The following is a 19,076-nucleotide window of genomic DNA, read 5'->3' on the forward strand; positions in this document are numbered from 1 at the left end:
CCGGGGAACAACTGAGGAGATCTGAACCCAGTGTGGACTTCAGTTCACAACGAGGTATGGATACGGGTCCTCTAGTTACGACAAATGTACCCGGTTAATGCCAGACGGTGACGTAAGGGGAAACTGCTTCTGGGGAACAAGGGAACTCTCTGTATCAGCTTCACAACTTTTCTATAAATCTAAACTATCCTGAAATTTAAAAGGCCACATAGATTTTGCATGTTTTCCAGTACGAACTGGGAGGTCATGTGAAAAACTACAAATGGTTGTTTATCAGTGCTGACATGACACAAGATGCTGGATTTCTTAATTTTTTTCTCGTCACTTTCATTATATAATAAAAAGCTATAAAGGAAGAAAGAGATCGTCCTGGCACAGCATCTGGTGGTTAGACCGGGCAACCACACAATTGATCATCCAAACCAGGCCACTTGGAGACAGAAAGGGGCCGCTGTGAGGAATGGCACCGATCAGCAGGCAGGAAGCAGATGTCCCAGGCGACCCCGGGGCATGGTGGCCACAGAGGCAGGACTCGCAGGCCCGCGCCCTCTGGGACGCCGAAAGCCTCTGCGGCTCTGGAAAGGAGTGTCAGGGCCAGTGGGGAGACCACGGCAGGGGGTGCAGGGAAGGAGAGGCAGCCCAGAGACAGGGAGGCGGACATCGCCACAGACAGAGGCCAAGGCCTGGGCACAGCTCTGCCCAGTGTCCTCTCCTGCCACTGACTCACCACCCCTTTCACCTTTTGTTTCCTTGTGGTGCCCGAGCAGGTGCAGCTTCTGGGCGGGTGACAGTCACGGCTTAGGCCCCTTCCTTCCTGCGCCTCTGGCTGCTGTGGCTCTGGGGAAGGGGCACCAGGACCCAATGACAGAGGACTCCCCTCCTGCTTGGCTCCCACCCCACACCCTCTGCAGGACATGCCCCAGCCCCTCCTCCGTGGCCATCCCCAGCGTGTCCAGGGCAGCCAGTCCTCGCTGCCACCCCACCGGTGCCTCCGCCCCCGCTGCCAGCAGACCCCGAAGATCCACCGAAGGGCCTGCTGTGGCTGTGCCTGGTTAGCCCACCCTGGGTTTTCCAATTGCCACCTACAATTCCCAGCCCCACCAGGGGCCACGCCAGCCCCGGTACTAGCTGGGCCACGCACTCTGGGGCTGGGGTCCCAGGGTCCAATGCTTTCTTCAGAACAGATTTTTTTTCCTCCCCTTTTCCTTTGTATCTTTCTTCCTATTTCATCTTTTTCCCTCTTTCAGTCATGTGCTAACTTTACAGATTATCTTTTCTGCCTTTGGAGATAAAACATCACTTCAGACACACAAGATGACTGATGTTTACAAGAAAAAGGAAAAAGAATTGGGGGCAAAATAAACAAAGACCCTGGCAGTCACAGGTGCGTCCTCCAGGGGCAGTGCAGGAAGCCCTGAGCCAGAGCTCCGAGACTCCCCGGCGAAGCCCCCGTAGTCAGGGGCCCGCCCCGCGGCCAGCAGCAGGTGCACACCCGCCTGGTCTCTGGGGCTTTATTTTCCAAACTCAGGAAGATGTTGACTCCACTCCAACTTCCTGTTTGTTTGTTCTCAAGTACAAACAGCCTTCCCTCCAAGCTCTTTCAGTTTCAAAGCTCAGAAGATGCTTTGTGTCTCCTGGGGTCTTGGTGCTCTGCGGCAGCAACCCGGGTACACTGGCTGGTGCTTGGCCATTTGGCTAAACTGGGGTTAGAGGTGGCTGAGAGAGAACTTGTGTGATGCTGGCAGGTGGCAGGCAGCAGCACCACTCCCTGAAGGTCACGCTTCCAACTCGTCCCTGCTCTCCCGGCCCCATGTCCAGCTCTTCCAAACAGCCCGGCCGACCCGCAGCAGCCCTAGCCCACCCCCAGATGCGGAGACTTCACCCTGTGTGGTCCCTCCCCTGAATCTGAGCTGGGCCTGTGACTGGCTCCAACCAGCAGAAAGCAGTCAAAGTGACACGGTGCCAGCCCAGGCCTAAGCCTCAAGAAGGCCCGGCATCTTCTACTCTGCGTCTGTGGGCGCCCTGGGGCCTCTCAGGAATTCCTCCTGCCCCAATGTGGGGCCCAGTGGGGCGAAGAAGCCGAGACTCTGAGGACGGCTGTGGTGGTGTGAGACAAGTCCACAGGTCCCACGGCAGCCCCTTCCGATGCGGGGTCCAGCTCCCCTCCCCTGAGGATGAGCTGGACTTGCTCACTTGCTCCTAACAGGACATGCTGGGAGGAGCCTGTGGCTGAGATCCTCGCTGTGGCTTCTCGCTCCTGCTCAGCTCACTGGGGAGGGAGGGAGGGGAGCGCCCTGTGTGGGGTCACCGGGGAGTTGAGCGCCGTGTGTGGGGTCACTGGGGGGGAGTTGAGCGCCGTGTGTGGGGTCACTGGGAGGGAGTTGAGCGCAGTGTGTGGAGTCACCCAGGCAGTGTGTGGGGAAGCTCCCTTTGCAAGGAACAGAGGCCTCCATCCAGGAGCCACATGGGGAAGCTGGCCTGGAAGTGGTCGCTCCAGTCCCAGTCAAACCTTCAGGTGACAGCAGCCCCAGCTGCCATCTTCACCGCAGCCTCATGAGAGACACCAAGAGGATGCACCGGCTAAGCCACTCCTGAATCACCGACTCAGAAACGATAAGATGGAGCTCACTGTGGGCCACTAGGCTATGAGGAAATTCATTAAGCAGCATGGATAGCTAATCTACTAGCAGAACTGAGACCCCAGAACAAGACCCAGCAGCACAGACAGCTAATCCACCAGCCAAGAGTGGAACTGAGACCCCAGCAGCATGGATAGCTGATCCACCAGCCAACAGTGGACTGAGACCCCAGCAGCATGGATAGCTGATCCACCAGCCAACAGCGAACTGAGACCCCAAGACAAGACCCAGCAGCACAGACAGCTAGTCCACCAGCAGAACTGAGACCCCAGGACAAGACCCAGCAGCACAGACAGCTAATCCACCAGCCAACAGTGGACTGAGACCCCAGCAGCATGGATAGCTGATCCACCAGCCAACAGCAAACTGAGACCCCAAGACAAGACCCAGCAGCACAGACAGCTAATCCACCAGCCAACAGTGGACTGAGACCCCAGGACAAGACCTAGCAGCATGGACAGCTGATCCACCAGCCAACAGCGAACTGAGACCCCAGGACGAGACCCAGCAGCATGGACAGCTGATCCACCAGCCAACAGCAAACTAACTGAGACCTCAGGACAAGACCCCTGGGGAGGTTTGCACCAGCCCGCAGCTCTCTGAGCCGCTCTGGCCGAGGTGCCGTGTACATGGATGAGGGAGCCACGGTGGACATTCTGGTCCCACAGACGTCATGCAGAGCAGAGACACCCGTCCCCACTAGGCCCTGTCCAAATTCCTAGCCCACAGCATCGTGAGAAACCACAAGGAGGCTGATAAGTCACTAGTGTAGGGTAGTTTACTAGCAGCAACAGAAAAGTGGAACAATGTGTCCCCTGGGCACGAACAGGACCCGGTTTGAGAAACGCGGTGCCAGGACCCCGAGCCCTGTTATTGGGCACAAGAGCCGCCAGGAACAGCTTTCCCACAGCGAACAGAGGCTCTGAGGTCAGACGTCACAAAGTGACTGAGGACGGGACCCAGGGCGCTGGCACAGGGAGAGGCAGAGGTGCATGGAGTAGGCGGCACCAAAACCCCCGCGGACTCCTGCTCACATCCCAGCATCGTGGTCAAAACAAGACAAATGTCATCCTTGCCAAGGCCCCAGAATGCGTGCAACGCCCGTGCTAGACTCCTGCAGACATTCCAAACACAGAGGCGCCTCTCTCCTGCTCTATCACACTTTCTGCCTTCTGCGTTCGGAGGACGGAGAGTCATGATGTGAATTCAAAAGAGGAGAAACCTTTGCAAAGTCAACTTTCTAAATCACTGTGAGAAATGGAATGTGCTCGGTTCCTATTTTTAATAAATTGGGGGCGACACTGACTCCCACCTACACCATCTCCTTGGCTTCAGAACTTAAATAACATCGAGATGGGTTTCCACAGGATTGGCAGGGCCGGAGCCCAGAAGGAAGCATGGCAGAGACCATGGGGGCTCCCTCCTCACAGGTGGAGAAGTGGGGTGAGAGGAGGCTGGATGGAATCTGGGGGGGACAAAGCCAGGCCAGGGCAAGCACCTCCGTCTGCACTCCTGCCCAGCCATGCTGATCTCTGCAGCAGCCTTGATTTTTAAAACAATAGATTTCAAATCAATGAGGAAACTGTTTTCTGATGAAGCAGGCATACCATACAAATAACAATAATTGTATTGCTTATAGCTTTCCCCAAACTGTCTCAAGTTCTGATCTTTATCATCAATCAGCAGGTTGGTCTGCCTGTATACTGGGAGAGGGGAGGGGCCTGCGTCTCTGCCCACGCCCAGGGCAGGCAGGAGACCTGTAAGGAAGCGCTCCAGGCACAGAGATACCACCCCGGGTGGCCACTCGCCCCCATTGACAGCCAGAGCCGAACAAGGCGGCATCCCACTCAGGAGGGTGGCTGAGAAGACCAAGGTCTCGCCACGTGCCCAAGTATTAGTCAGCAGCAGCAGGAGAAATGGTGGTTCACAGAGCTTTATTTTTATCTCCAGTTATACACAGACAGCAGAGAGGGAGGTTCAGAGAAACACACAGCTCAACGGAGCTTTTTAGGTGAGGAGGAAAATCTGGCTGGGAAGGGAAATGACACCAAGTAGAAGGCCTGGTCGTCCACTAACGTGAGCCCAGATTCAGCTCTGAGCTTCCCAACACCAAGTAGAAGGCCTGGTCGTCCACTAACACGAGGTCCGATTCAACTCCAAGCTTCCTAACGCCCAGTAGAAGGCCTGGTCCTCCATTAATATGAGCCCAGAATCAGCTCTGAGCTTCCCAACACCAAGTAGAAGGCCTGGTCCCCCACTAACGTGAACCCAGATTCAGCTCCGAGCTTCCCGACACCAAGTAGAAGGCCTGGTCCTCCACTAATGTGAACCCAGATGCAGCTCCGAGCTTCCCAACCAGGAAGAGACAGGGTCAGGGCCACAGGGCACAGGCCCTTACTTGATGTAAGAGCCGAGGGGCTCAAGAGGAAGTCTGGGAAGCTGCTCTGAGTGGTCCTGCAGGGCCTGGCCTGGAACCCGGGTTCCTCCCTAGGAGGGTCCTGCCTGACACAGCTGGGAGCGCCCGTTAGGTGTGGGGGTCCCCGGGGAAGACAAGGCCCCGCAGTGGGCTCGGGGACACAGGATGCTCCGCCCAAAAGCACGGGGCCACACTCCCCAGGAACCCGCCAGTGGACACACCAGACTACCCTGCCTCAGATCCGGGTCAGAAGACAGATGCCGCATCCCAGTGTAAAGGAAACAGTGCGGGCTACTGGGCCGGGTGAAAATGCAAGATGTGAACCAGGAGCTGCACGTCGGCCACGTGTGGAGAAGGCTGGGCCTTCAAGAGGACTGAGAGGAACAGAAGGAGGAAAAGCAAATTAAAAGTCCACACCGCGAGGCGCCCTCTGATGACTGGCAACCCCGTGGTACAGAGGGTTAGAGATCCCCCTCCAGGCCCATCGGGAGCCCGGGCCAAGGGACCAGCACCCCGTGGGTTTCCTGCCCTCACTCACCATGATGCACCGGCTATATACTCACTAAACTCTCACACTCAAAGTATGTCCGCGGGCCAGCAGCGCTGGCACCGCCTGGGGCCGGCTGGAAATGTGGGCTCCTGGCCCCACCCCAGGCCGGCTGGGTCAGCCGCATTTTCACAAGTCCTGGGTGACTGGGGGTCCGGGACAGGCAGGAAAGCTGCTCTGAGTGGTCCCGGCTCCGTGTGGAAGAAACACTTGTCTGTGACTTTGCCTCCCTCAGATCACCTTGGAGTGTCTCTGGGCTTCACCCGCAGAGAATCAATCCCTCAACAAAATCACCTCCAAGGCATCCTCGCATTACTTCTCCACTGGAAAGCTGGGTGGTTCAAGTTCTAAAAGAAAAGCCGGCTTATTTTTAGCCTTGTAAAATGCACAACCAGATGGATAGACACGCAGAGCTGACATTTGTTACATAAAAAGTATGACAGTAGGTCCCGAGTCCATTCTAGAGCAGCCTCACAGCTGGGAAGGAGAAGAGGCATCAAGCTGCACAGCTGCCCCAAGGGCCCCCAGGACACCCGGTGCTGGGCCCAGAACCGGGGAAGCCAGGAGCAAACATGTGACGGGGTGCCCGGCAGGAGGCCAGGACCATAGGCCTCCTCCCCAGTCCACACCCCAGACCAGGGGCCTCTGCAGCCACCAGGCTTCTGACCACCAAGCGCCTGCACTGTGGGGGATGGGTGTCTGGGCCACACAGAGAGCCCCCACCCCTTGCCTCACAGGGTCAGGAGGCAAGGAAAGAGCACCCTCCAAAATGCGAGTCCACACCTGACTGGAAAGTTTTCCCACACTAGGGCTAAGCTGACGCTCTGGAAGGACAACCCGTCCATACCAACCGTGCGGGAGGAGCTGTCCCCAGCCCTCGGCAGCCCCTGGGCTCAGGACCTTCTCTCTTCTCTGCTCCATGAGCTCCGGCAACACCATAAGGAAAGAACGAGGCAAAACCATCACGGGGCCACTAGAGTCACTCCAAGGCAACGTGACAGACCACCCAGAAAGCCAACAAAATGAACTTCAAAGCTATAGACTAACGAGAATTTAGCCAAGTGCAGTCATGTGCAAGAGGCAGCGAAGTCTCAGCCACACACAAGGTGAACCTTGTAAAAGTGGAGCGTTCCTTCACATCAGCAGCAGCCAGCGTGGAAACGGTCCCACTCCAGTCCCACAGGCCGGGAGCAGCAAGGGCGCAGCCTGCCTGGGGCTCTGCGGTGAGGGGCTGCGTGGGAGGCCTCAGATCCCTACAGGGGGAAACATCCTAACTGCACTCATCCTGGGAAAGAGGAGAACTAATGCGAGAAGGAGAGAGCTTTCTCACTCTCCGTCAAGCGATACTCCCTACGGGCTGCAATTTCCAACGCAAAAAGTGAAACCACAGAAGCGCTAGAAGAAAGTACAGATGCAGGTTTATGAATTAAATTATTATTAACTGTGCTGGGAAGGACTGCTGTCACATAAAGGCAAGGCCGGACGCAGCCACAAAGGCAGATGATGAATCTGACCACACACAAATTAAACACATCCATAGAGAAAAAAGCTAAGTAGCAACATTAAAAGATAAATGAGGAACGTGGGAGGGAAGCTGCTGAAGGCTCAGCCTGTGTACCAGGAAGGGCGAGAGGAACCTGCGGCTGCCATCCCACAGGACACATGCCGCTAACAAGCGCGGGCAGGCAATTCAAAAAGTGTGGAAACACGTGAAATGTGTTTAGAGCTGAATGCTCTAAACATTTAAGGTAAAAAGATGATGAACCTCATTGATAATCAAAGAAACTCAAAGCATGAGTGCCATCTTTTAATCTCTTAGACTGGCAAAGAATAGAAACATTGCTGATACCCAAAGCTGGAGAGGATTCAGGGGAAAAGGCGATCAAACCCTCCCGCTCCTGGAGCAAGTGAAAATGGGTTTTCCCTTCCCGCCAGCTCCGCTGGCAGCAGGTGGTCTGGTTCTCTCCCCTGCAGGTGCCTCCCGCCACCCACTGCACTCGCTCCTGCCTCCCTGTCTTGTCAGTCTCTCTGCTTCCCCTCTGCCCGGTTACCCCACGACAGCATGGCCCATAAACAATGCTCAGAGAGGGACCAATTGAGCGGCCACACGTGTTAAGGTATTTCACACGGACCCCTTTGCCTGAGCAATGTCGTTCCTAAAAATGTATCCTAGGGAAACAATGCCAAGTGCACAAAGATCTGCAACGATGTTCATCAATACGTCGTTTATGATATTTATAAAACAGAAACACCTCACAGTCCTGTGACAGGAAACTAAGTAAGCAGAGAAAGTCACAGCTGCTCAGGGGAGCACTGCAGAGTCGGGAATCTCAGCCTCGACTGCTGGTAAAACTCAAGAGGGGCTTAAAAAAAAAGCCTGAGCCCCTGAGCCCCACCCCCAACCCACCAAACCCCCCCAGTTCACCCACAGTTCACGGGTGTGGGGCTTGAGCATCTGCATTTTTTAAGAGTGCCCAGTGAATGACTCGGGTCCACAGCCTGGGGCTGAGAACTGTTGTAAATTCAGCCAACAAATGATGCCTCAGGTCTGGAAGAGGCTGGCAACATATCGCTGAATCAACAAGCACCTTACGGCAAATTGGCATGCAGAGCAGGATCCCACTTCTGCTAACAAAGAGAGAGTGTTTCTCCACGGCTGTACCTGGGACTGTATTTCCAGAAAAAGGCTGGGAGGTGACACCGTGATCCCAATGCTGAAGTTACAGATACCGTGGCATAAAGTATAGAATGTTTTTAAATGCATACATTTTAATGCTTTCATAATTAGGAAAAAACAAAGGTGTTTCTAATTTTAAGAGATGACTTGAGGAGTCTGGTGGCCCCTGGTCCTGCCTCACTGCCTGCCCGGCCCGGCGCCCAGGGCGGGCCGTCCACAGCCTGCAAGGGCCTGTCCACTCCAGCCTTCCCCAGATGAAGGCAAAGCCCCTCAGGGAGGAGCTACTTCCTGCTGGCGGGCTAATGCCACGTCAGGCTGGAGACTCAATGCTGTGACCCCGAGACGGGCGAGCGCCCCCCAGGTTGCAGAGCTGCTTAGCGGGAAGGTACCGGAGCCTCCTCTCAGGTTCACTTGGTATCACCAGGACACCAAGACAGAGAGGAATGAAGGGGCTCGCCCAACGCCATGCAGCTCTGGTGCAGAGCAGCAGCAGAAAGACCCCCTAACCAAGTTCAACCCCAAAAATGAATTTTTCACCGAAGTCAGAGAAGGGATAGAATGGGAGCATGTGAGGGGCTGAGGGGAAGGAAAACTGGAGACCCTCAGTTCTGGCATGACAAAGACGTGCAGAGAATTCTGTACATGCACCAAATATCTGCCAAATTAGGAAAATGGTTCTGGAGTCCACAAGGATTAAAAGGAACAGAGGACATTTAGTCTTATATGTCGCAACTATGCCTATCAGTTGAAATTTACCTGGCACTTTGTTAAACAGCACTCTTAATTTCTTTTTTCCTTTTCTCTGCATACTAAATTTGATATATTAATTAGGTGTTTTAATCTAAAAAATTCATCGGAAGGTCTAGCATTGCCATAGCAACCGTGCAGATTCAGTAAACTCGAGACACCAACACAGCACCAGGGCCTCCTTAAGCCAGTGCTGCCACGGGGCCACGAAAGTACCAGGCAAATGACTGCACCAACCTGAAAGGGGTGGGACTCAGGGGCAACAGTCCCTTCCTAAAAGACTCTCCTTTCTCCTTCCAAACTGAATCCCTTCCACCAACACGAGTCCCCGGCATCCACACTCAGAGGTGCAGAACATTCTTCTGCAAACCCTGTGCTATGACTCCCAAGTTGTCTGTGCCCTGCCAGTGACAGGAAGAAGCGGAGGGAAGCGGTCACCGCCCAGAGATGTCCTCTGCTATTCGGGCCAGGGCCTAGTCTTGCCCTCCTGATTTCACCACACAAAGCCCAGCTGAGTCCCGGCGGGTGCTCAGTTTGGGGATGTGGCTGCATACCAAGCCATACGGAGCCAGCAGCATCCGTGGGACACCGTCAGCCGAATCTCTGCCGTCCTACTACAGGCAAATACGGTGATGCTGGGGATGTGAAAGAATTCCCAAGTCAGACCGTGAGCCCCACAGACAGACTCTGTGCTTGCTCTTTTTGCCTTTCTAGTGATCCTTGAATTCTGTGACATAACACACTGTGAACACACAGGGAAGTCTACCCTACAAAGCTGAAGGCAGCCCAGTGCCACACCACTGTCTCCACTCCCACCCCCGGAGAGCACGGTGCCGAGACCCAGAAGAGCAGCCAGCTCTTGGCTGACACCAGCAAGTGCTAAACCAGATGCGTTTCTCAGACGTTCTCTCAACCCGCAGCCAGAAACGAGAGGCAAATCTGCCTCCTGATCAGCTCCTAGTTCACTCTGGGCTTTCTTTACTTTGAATATTTATGTTAAAAACAAAAACATTTCTCAAACATTCACCATCGTGAGTTCTGCTGTCCCGAAGTTCAGGACACAGTGACGGGCCACCCTGGAGCGTGTGGGGCCTGGTGTGGCTGGGCCTTCAGCCCTCCTTCTAGGCAGCACACCATGAATCCCCGGTGCCGTCTCCCGGAGGAACGGCGGTGCACGGCCCCACACTCACCAACGCCGGCCTGAGGTCGTATTACTGTAATTTCCCATAATGCTTAAATTATTTATCGCAAGTAAATAGCCTGGCTCCTGAGCGCTGGGCTCTAAAATTTTGAAGGATCCATCATACCTCTGCACGCTATCTATAAATGAAAAATGCACATTTCAAGTATTTTAAGAAAATGTCAAAAAACATGAAATGTGTCATCAATGTACGATTTTAAATGATTTGCATGTTACCTGTAGAAAAGAGCTGTATGTCTGCATGTGACTGTATTACAGTGCCCACAGGCAGACGCGGCACCACATCTCCCTGCAGGTGATAATTCGGGGGTCCCCGGGGCCCCCTGGCACCCCGGGAGGTGTCCCTGCAGGCCTGTCCCATGTCACCTCACCTGCCTTCTCTGCTTTCTATGGCGCCCACGGCTGCACGGTCACTCAGGAGACACCAGTCCCCGGGGTTGGCGGCTTTATCTACAGGACTCAGCAGCGCACTCGTTCCTGGCAGGGCAGGTCTTTGCACAACGGCCTGGCCCTGCCTCCAGCGCACATGGGTGAGCAGAGGATGGACACCGCGCGGTCACCAAGGAGACTGAGCCTCTGAGCGGCCGGGCCCCGCCACCTGTGGGGCAGGAGCCTCACTCGCACTCGGGCGGCACAGGTGAGCGCCTCTCTAACTGCAAAGTACAAACGAGCCCGCACGTGGGCCCGAGCGGATCACGGAAAGCGGAAAGCAGGGCTGCCACGGGCGGTGGGCGGAGGCGCGCGCAAGCCCGGAGACGCCACAGCCGCGGGGGACCCTCGCCCCGAGGGCCCGGGCCCAGCCTGCTCCTCCTGCGGCGCCGCCACTAGAAACGGAGGACGCGGGCGGGCGCCCAGAACTCGCGTGGGGCCGCAGCCACCCGGCGCGAGCTTCTCCGGAAGCCGGGGCGCCCCGGGAAGCCGTCCCGGACACCGGGGGAACCCCTGCGGGAAAAAGCCGCCCAGCCGCGCCCGCCCCTGCAATAGCGCGCGGCCCCCACGTCGTCCCCGTGCCCGCACTCACCGTCCTCCTTGTCGTCAAACACCGGCCTCCGCGCGGTGGCCGCCGACATGGACGAGCCCATCCTCTTCTTCCACTTGCTCCACTGAAACAGGGGGCGCGGCTGCGAGCGGACATCGCCCGAGTCCCGGGCCCGGGGCTGGCCAGCAGCGGGCGGCGGCAGGGCCGAGGGCGCGTCGGAGCCGGCGGGGCGCGCGCGGCCGGGGGGCGGCGAGCCCGGGGACGCCGCGGCGCTGCTGCCCCTGCGCTCGGCGCCACTCCTCATCGCCGGGTCTGGGTGCGCGCGGCAGCCGGAACTCGGGGCATGGCCGGCCGGCAGGGCCGGGAGCGGCAGTGGTAGCGGGAGCGCTCGGGGCCGGCAGCGCCCGCCGTGCGCTCTTCTGGGCGGTGGAACCCGCCCCGTAGATTGCGAGCGCTGGGGGCGGGGCAGGGGCGGGGCTTCTGGAAGGGGCGGGGGCGGGGCGGAGCTCCTGGAAGGGGTCGAGGCGGAGCTGAGCGCCGGGGCGTGGCAGGTGCGGAGCTTCGGGAAGGGTAGGGGCGGGGCCGAGCCGGGGGCGGGGCAGGGGCGGGGCTAGTGCCTGGAGTGTCGCTAGGGAGTGGGTGGCCGCCACCAGTCTAGGGATGGGGGCTGTGGTTCGCCGGGACACGGGGACCACGGCTCAGACTAGACGGCGGGTACGAGAGCGAGGGAGGCAGGGAGCGTCCCCACGGGTATCCTGGGGCCCCGGAGGTCGGCGTCCCTGGCACGGGGACTGCTGTGCCCGGCACGGCGGCGGGACCTTCTCGCGGTCTCCGGGGGCCTCCCTCCCCTGCCTTCTTCGTGAAAACAGCCGGCGCGCGGGCTTCCGCCGCCCAGTGCGGGGAGCCCTAAACTCCAGCCTTCTGCTTTGCGCAGGGTGAGGCCGGGCTGCAGGCCCGGGATGCGGGCGGCGGGAATCTGCCGGGCAGAGCCCGGCTCACGGTCAGGAGGCGGCAGGCTGAGTCCAAGCGCTGCGCCAGAGGGTGGGGTGGGGCAGGGCGGGCCTGGCTGCGCGCGCGCACACGCGGGCGCCTGGGGTGGGCGCTAAGCCCTGAGCACGTGCGCCCGCGCTCTCGGGCACCCCCGTGCCATCCTCGCGACCCCCGTCCGGCCTGAGACCGCGTGCCCGAGTCGCCCAGGGTCCCCTTGTCCAGATGCGACAGGGGCCTCGGCACTCGGCGTATTTCGGAGGCCTGGGGCGCGGCTTGACCTCCGGGCACCTCTGCCCCTGCGCAGGGCCAGGCGCGACCTTGCGCGGAAAGTGCTGGGCGCCTTGGAGTGCCCTGGAGAAGGCGCGGCTCTGCATGGAGCCTCGCCGCCTGCCCCTGGCGCTTGTCACTGAAGAATCAGTTTTTGCTACCGGGCTGTTTGACTTTAGGAAGCCTTTACCTCCTTAAGTTCTGCCCTGTAACCAGGACACAAAGACGGGGTCTCTTCCTCCTCGGTGAAATCCTAGATGGGATTTCCTGCTGCCCGCCCGGACGATGAGCGGATCCCCAACATGGCTCCAAGGCCAGTGTCTCCCGCTCCCGTCCCTCCCACCGCACACAACTGTCTACCCTGTCATTCAGCCACTGTGAGCCCTGCCTCCCCACGGCCTTTGACATTCAGTGTGGCCGCCCGCCCTAACCGCCTGATGCATGAAATGTGAGCACGGGAAGTCTGTGTGGCTTCTGGGCCAACAGGAGCCCCCATCCCTTGGGGACTATAAGGAATGGAACCATGCCCATCTACCTAGGACATGCACCCGCCTGGACATGCACCCGCCTGGACATGCACCCGCCTAGGACATGCACCCACCTGGACATGCACCCGCTTAGGACACATGGCATGCATTTCACTACTGAGATTTAGAGGGTATTTTTATGGCAGCATAACCTAGGTTACCTGACCAACCAGCCACCGCAGCTCTCCCTGCCTGGCTAGCACAAACGCATCGGTCTCTAACTTCCAGTGCACAGAGCCGAGTTTTCAGCCCTTGCAGCTGCGAAGCTCTGTTCCCTGCTCTCCCTCAAAGTTGCCATTCTCCAGCAGGCACGCAGAAGGCAGTGGGTTCAGCACCTGCCTCAGAGGAAGCCCTCGGTGCCCATCCCAGCAGGAGTGGTGAAGGAGCGTTTGGAAGGGGAGGTACCAAGGCAGGGCAGTGCCTGGAACCCTGCGTACCCGGTGCACACATCAGACTCCCCAGGGCTCCTCCCAAAACACGCAGCCTCTGAACTTACATCATCGCCTCTCCTCCTCTCCCTCTGACCCCTAAAAGTGGCAGAAAAGGAATAAAAGATATAACGTCCCCACCACCACCTAAGAGGGAACAGGAGAAGGGAAGACATGTTAATAGACTTCAGACAGCAGGTAGAAAGCTGACTCTGAAGATTGGAGAGGCTGAGGACCTGCAGGTAACCAGGACCCCAAAAGGCGGGAGAATGTGAATACAGCCAGAGCCCAGGACGCCTCCCCGGCCCGGGCAGTTGGGGATGGACAGTCCTCTGGTCTGAGGGTCCAAAGGGGCTCTTGACCTAGGGATACCAAGTCCTGCAGAAGACAAGAGTGCAGGGGGGCAGAGGGGTTCATGGGGACATCTGCACACTTAACTAGGAGACCCTCCAACCTCACCCTTGCTGTGAGCCTCAAACACCAAGCCAGGCACCTGCCTCTCAGTCAGGAAACAGGAAGGATCTGTAGGGAAACAGCAGCTCCCAAAAGAATGCCGGGTCCTAAGATTTGGCCAGTGCAGATCAGCCCTGGAGGGGCCTGTGGGCTCAGGGCACAACTCTTGTACTGTCCAGGTGCAACTCTTGTACTGTCCAGCCACGGCTCAGGGTCCAGGCAAACACAAGACTGAGCGTTAAGAGGTGCACAGTGTAGGCATGAGACAGGAGGGGTCAGGAACTGCTGTCCCCAAGAGGATGCCAACCCCTGGTGCCTCATGGGAGGTAGCTCTGAAGTTCTAGGGGGATGCTGGGAGGGACTGAGGCTGGGACAGAGTCAGCTGTGGATGGGAAGGGGCAGTGAGGCCAGTAGAGAATTCCTGAGTTCCCCTGTGTGCCCATGCTGCCCGGGAACGTCAACTTCATTAGGGCAGCGATGGTGTCTGCCCCTTCCAATGACAGGAGACCAAGTGACAATGTGACAGATAAATGCATTCAGTGCACTGACGTCTAGCACGCAGGAGCACACAGGAAGGCACATGGCTGGGCAGCACGTGCATGATCGTGGGACCACTTTAGCTTGGGTAGTCCAGCATGAGTCTCTGAGCAGGTGACCTTGATGCTGAGGCCGGAGCATGAACGAGTAGCCCAAGGGAGGCCAGGTGTCCGGGTTCCAACAGCAGGAGCTGGCCCTAAGGTAGAAACCGGCTTGTGCGGGAGGACAGGAGGGTCCATGCTGCAGGACAGCAAGTGAGTGGCCGTGGCATGTGCTGAAGGGCTGGGGGTGGTTTGGGGGACAAGGTGCAGTCCCTGACACCAGGCTTCATGTGCATTTGTTCATAATTCGTCCATAAAGCCACGCCTCCTGAGGGACATGCCTTGGACATGGGTCCTCCGTTGCCACATAATTGGCACACAGCTCAGTCACACCGAGATGTGTGCTTCATCTTCTGTCATCATTATGAAATTAACACATGCTCTGCCCACGCCTTTGTTAAGAGTCCTTTTATTAAATCTCCTCAGATCACACGATTCGTGTGTGCTGTTTCCTGCTGGAAAACACATCTCAGAACTGACCCCCAAAACAGGAAATGGGCTCCCATGGGACTCCGATGCTGGTGTCCACCTATGTGGAGAATCCACGGACAGCCTCCCTCCTGGGAAATGGAAGACAGATGGCCGTGGCGCCCTCAGATTCAGCCCTGGCGGGGCCTGGGACTGAGGATTCTTGGAAGGCCAGGGCCTTGGAGCCCACGTGTGGGGACACTTGGTTGCTATGGTGACAGTATTGATTTTAAAGGTCATGTGGCCACCTGGTGACTCAGGAAGGAGCACAGCGACGGAGAACATGCAGGACGGGCTGCAGCCACTAGGAAGGAGCCCTCGCCCCCACTGCAGTGCGCCGGGGCCGAGCATGAGTTCACCGCTCAGCTCTGCTTAAGGACCCACAACCCCAGCCCCTGCTGCCACCATCATCACGTTGCCTTTTCATCTGTCTACTCCGCCCTTTTCTTCCTCTATAAGGACACTTGTCATTGGACTTAGGGCCCACCCTACTCCAGGATGATATCATCTTGAGATCCTTAACTTAGTTACATCTGCAAAGATCCTCTTTCCAGATAAGGTCACATTCACAGGGCCGGCACGGACATGTCCTTTGGTGGCAAAAGGCCACCATTTAACCCACCACATCCATGGGCAGCATGGATTCACCACACCCTACAGCCCCAAAGTCCCAACCATTACAGCAGCAACTCTAAGTCCAAAATCCCAGCTCAAGATTTTTTTTGAGACAGAGTCTCACTGTGTTGCCCAGACTGGAGTGCAGTGGTGCTATCATGGCTCACTGCAGCCTCGACCTCCCAGGCTCAAGCGATCCTCCCATCTCAGGCTCCTGAGTAGCTCGGACCATAGATCCATGACCCCACCCCTGGCTGATTTTTTGTGCTTTTGGTAGAGACAAGGATTTCACACTGTGGCCTAGGCTGATCTCAAACTTTGGGGCTCAAGAAATCCACCCCACTCAGCCTCCTAAAGTGCTGGGATTACAGGTATGAGCCACTGCACCCAGCCTCTCGTCTAAATATTTTCAGCTCGAAAGTCTCCAAGACTCATTGTCTAAATCATGCCTGATTTAGACAATCAGAAATGATGTCCAAGACTCATTATCTAAATCAGGCATGGGTGAGACCTCAGTTCAATCCATTCTGGGCAAAATTCCCCTTTATCTGTGTAACTGTGAAACTGGAAAATATGCTTCCAAGGTACAGTGATGAGATAGGCATAAGATATACATTCCCATTTCAAAAGGGAGAAATAAGAAGGAATAAAAAGAGTCATCGGTCCCAAGTAAGTTCAAATCCAGCAGGGCAAGTTCCATGAGGTTTCAAGGCCTGGCAAGAATTCTTGGTGGCTCAATGCTGCACTACGTAAACTAAAATTAAAACCATAAGCCCCCAACCGATGGGACAGACCCGCTCTTGGCCAAGGAAACTCCAGAAAAACCTTAAAACTGAGTTCCAGGCCAGATGCAGTGGCTCATGCCTGTAGTCCCAACACTTTGGGAGGCCGAGGTGGGCGGCTCACTTGAGGTCAGGAGTTCGAGACCAGCCTGGCCAACATGGCAAAACTCTACCTCTACTAAAAATACAAAACTTAGCCAGGCGTGGTGGCACACGCCTGTAATACCAGCTACTCAGGAAGCTGAGGCATGAGAATCACCCGAACCTGTGAGGTGGAGATTGCTGTGAGCCGAGATCACGCCACTGCACTCCAGCCTGGGCGACAGAGCGAGACTCTGTCTCAAAAAATAAAATAAAATTAAATTAAAAACCTGAGTTCCTGGCTATGATGGTGGGATGGGAGGTCAGACGGGTCTCCTGATACCCCCTCCCTTTTACGGTTTAGACACAACAACCAACCAGCTTTAATGTTAAGCTGGAGACCATAAGACAAACGGAATGGCTCTTTGTGGCAATAAGATACCAAATTATAAACAGGACCTAAGGCCATGCCGAGTGACGGTTAAGTCACACACTCTACCCTTACAGCAGCTAACAAGCACTGGCCTTGAGATGAGCAACATTAAACGCCGTGGCTGTTTACCATCCACACAGAGGCAGCCTCTAAGGCTAAAAAGGACCCTTCCACACGGGCCACACGACAGACATTTGCCAAGCACCTGCTCCATGCTAGGCACTGCAGCAGACACTGCTGACATAGTGAATGGTCAGATGGAGCGTGCACCCCTCTCAGCGAGGGAGACGGGAACCCAGTGGATAGCAGGCAAAGAGGGGATGCACAGAGGGCTGCGAGAGCAGGAGTGGATGCCAGTCCTGACAGAGCATGAGGGACACCCCCTCGAGGCAGCCCACAGCAGAGCTGACACCTGACAGATGGGCAGACGTCAGCCAAAGGGGAGCAGGAGAGCAGCCCTCCGGGCAGAACATGGGTAGCGTCCAAGAGGTGAGCAAGAATGTGATGCTTTAGAAGAAAGGAATGAATGAAAGGCCAGGCTGGTTAAGCTGGAGAGATTGAGGCAGGGAGTGGCAAGAGACGAAGGCTAAGGAGATGACAAGGACCAGGTCAAGAGGCCTCATGAGCTCCGTGGAAGGTGCTAGCTCTGGCTTCCTGAAAGGCTGCTGAAATGGGGGTTGTTTAAGACCCATGCAGTGAACTTTGGCCAATGGAAAACCACTGCTGGGAGGATAAGCCACCTCTCCTTCCTCTTTCCCACAAGAGTTCGCAGGCAGAGTCTCTCTCCTGCCCATGTGAAGGCATCCTACCTGGCCAAGCAGGGCATCCATGGAGCAGCAGCCTCTGTCAGAACTCAGCCAGCCATAAGCCCTCGGCCAGCACCGCGATGCACCACCTTACCTGGGCCCCGCCCTTCTCTGCCCCTCTGCCCTTCTGCATCTATATAAAGGAGGGGCAAATCAATTTCATGTTGAAAGACAATTCATCGCTCATAGCAGAACTAATAACACTCTGCCTGATAGCATGTGCAGATGTAAAACTGCACAACTTACAAAGGGCAAAGAGATGATGACACTGCTGAGCTTTTCTGACATTCCCTGGAAGTGGTGTTTTACAGCTCAGGTTTGACTGTGACAGACTGAGGGTGGCTATCGTGATCCACAGCAATGCCTTTAAAAAGTGGCCCAGCTAACGAGCCAACAGAGGAGATACAATGTAACTAAAATCACCAGGAGAAGATGAAAACAACCCATGGGACACAAGGAAAATAAAGAGCAGAGTGGTAGAGTTCATCATTACAGTAAACGTAAATGGACTACGCACTTCAATTAGAAGATAGAGACCATCAGACTGGATACAAATGCAAGACCCTAATATGTATATGCTGATTCTAAAAGCTGCATCTTAAATATAAAGATGAATTATAACCTAAACACTAAAAAAGAATTTAAAAGTAAAAAGATGGAAAAAAGATATACCATGCAAATAATAATCATAAGAAAGGTGATGTAGCTATATTTATATCAGATAACGTAGACTTCAAGACAAAGAATATTATTAGAGATAAAAAGGAACATTTCAAATGATAAAAGGATCAATTATTTAAGAATACCTAACATGCAGCCATAAAAAAGATTGAGTTTGGCCAGGCGCAGTGGCTCATGCCTGTAATCCCAGCACTTTGGGAGGCCGAGGCAGGCAGATCCTGAGTTCAGGAGTTCAAGACCAGCCTGACCAACACGGAGAAACCCCATCTCTACTAAAAATCCAAAATTAGCCAGGCGTGGTGGCGCATGTCTGTAATCCCAGCTACTTGGGAGGCTGAGACAGGAGAATCATTCGAACCTAAGAGGCGGAAGTTGCGGTGAGCAGAGATTGCACCATTGCATTCCAGCCTGGGCAACAAGAGCGAAATTCCATCTCAAAAAAAAAAGAATAAGTTCATGTCCTTTGCAGGGACATGGATGAAGCTGGAATCCATCATTCTCAGCAAACTAACACAGGAACAGAAAACCAAACACCACATGTTCTCATTCATAAGTGGAAGCTGAACAATGAGAACACATGGACACAGGGAGGGGAACATCACACACTAAGGCCTGCTGGGGGTTTGGGGGCAAGGGGAGGGACAGCATTAGGACAAATACCTAATGCATGTGGGGCTTAAAACCTAGATGATGGGTTGATA

The 19,076-nt window shown here is 55.7% G+C and overlaps 1 protein-coding gene across 10 annotated transcripts in view, besides 5 other annotated features; it reads right to left on the reverse strand.

The window, feature by feature from the left end:
* The window catches only part of STK32C (serine/threonine kinase 32C), a 124,754-nt gene that overhangs the window by 88,842 nt on the left and 16,836 nt on the right, over window positions 1–19,076 (reverse strand). For 2 of the 10 annotated variants that reach the window (XM_011539690.3, NM_173575.4), the window contains exon 1: window positions 11,249–11,627. The exons of 6 other annotated variants lie outside the window; for them this stretch is intronic. In XM_011539690.3, the coding sequence (XP_011537992.1) occupies window positions 11,249–11,510 (262 nt within the window). In that variant the 5' untranslated portion in view covers window positions 11,511–11,627. Of the gene's footprint in view, window positions 1–10,598; window positions 10,900–11,248; window positions 11,628–19,076 lie in introns of those variants that run through there. 2 more of the 10 variants (XM_011539695.2, NM_001318879.2) reach the window with 1 other exon arrangement.
* Window positions 1,529–1,692: a silencer, noted in NCBI's record as "fragment chr10:134111356-134111519 (GRCh37/hg19 assembly coordinates)". NCBI's record gives its function as "represses an EF-1alpha promoter that drives an FKBP-Casp9 reporter gene in an ReSE screen in K562 erythroleukemia cells {active_cell/tissue: K562}" and the evidence as "EXISTENCE:reporter gene assay evidence [ECO:0000049][PMID:32094911]".
* Window positions 11,451–12,100: a silencer, noted in NCBI's record as "silent region_2953". NCBI's record gives its function as "represses an Ori minimal core promoter by ATAC-STARR-seq in GM12878 lymphoblastoid cells {active_cell/tissue: GM12878}" and the evidence as "EXISTENCE:reporter gene assay evidence [ECO:0000049][PMID:35858748]".
* Window positions 12,353–12,897: an enhancer, noted in NCBI's record as "H3K4me1 hESC enhancer chr10:134122180-134122724 (GRCh37/hg19 assembly coordinates)". NCBI's record gives its function as "activates a minimal SCP1, AML or CMV promoter by ChIP-STARR-seq in naive and primed H9 embryonic stem cells {active_cell/tissue: H9 hESC(naive and primed)}" and the evidence as "EXISTENCE:reporter gene assay evidence [ECO:0000049][PMID:30033119]".
* Window positions 12,898–13,440: an enhancer, noted in NCBI's record as "H3K4me1 hESC enhancer chr10:134122725-134123267 (GRCh37/hg19 assembly coordinates)". NCBI's record gives its function as "activates a minimal SCP1, AML or CMV promoter by ChIP-STARR-seq in naive H9 embryonic stem cells {active_cell/tissue: H9 hESC(naive)}" and the evidence as "EXISTENCE:reporter gene assay evidence [ECO:0000049][PMID:30033119]".
* Window positions 15,082–15,376: an enhancer, noted in NCBI's record as "tiled region #5064; K562 Activating DNase matched - State 8:EnhW, and HepG2 Activating DNase unmatched - State 4:PromP". NCBI's record gives its function as "activates a minimal TATA promoter and a strong SV40 promoter by Sharpr-MPRA in K562 cells, with weaker activation in HepG2 cells {active_cell/tissue: HepG2 | K562}" and the evidence as "EXISTENCE:reporter gene assay evidence [ECO:0000049][PMID:27701403]".

Source organism: Homo sapiens, chromosome 10, assembly GCF_000001405.40.
Source record: "Homo sapiens chromosome 10, GRCh38.p14 Primary Assembly".
Taxonomy (NCBI): Eukaryota; Metazoa; Chordata; class Mammalia; order Primates; family Hominidae; genus Homo; species Homo sapiens.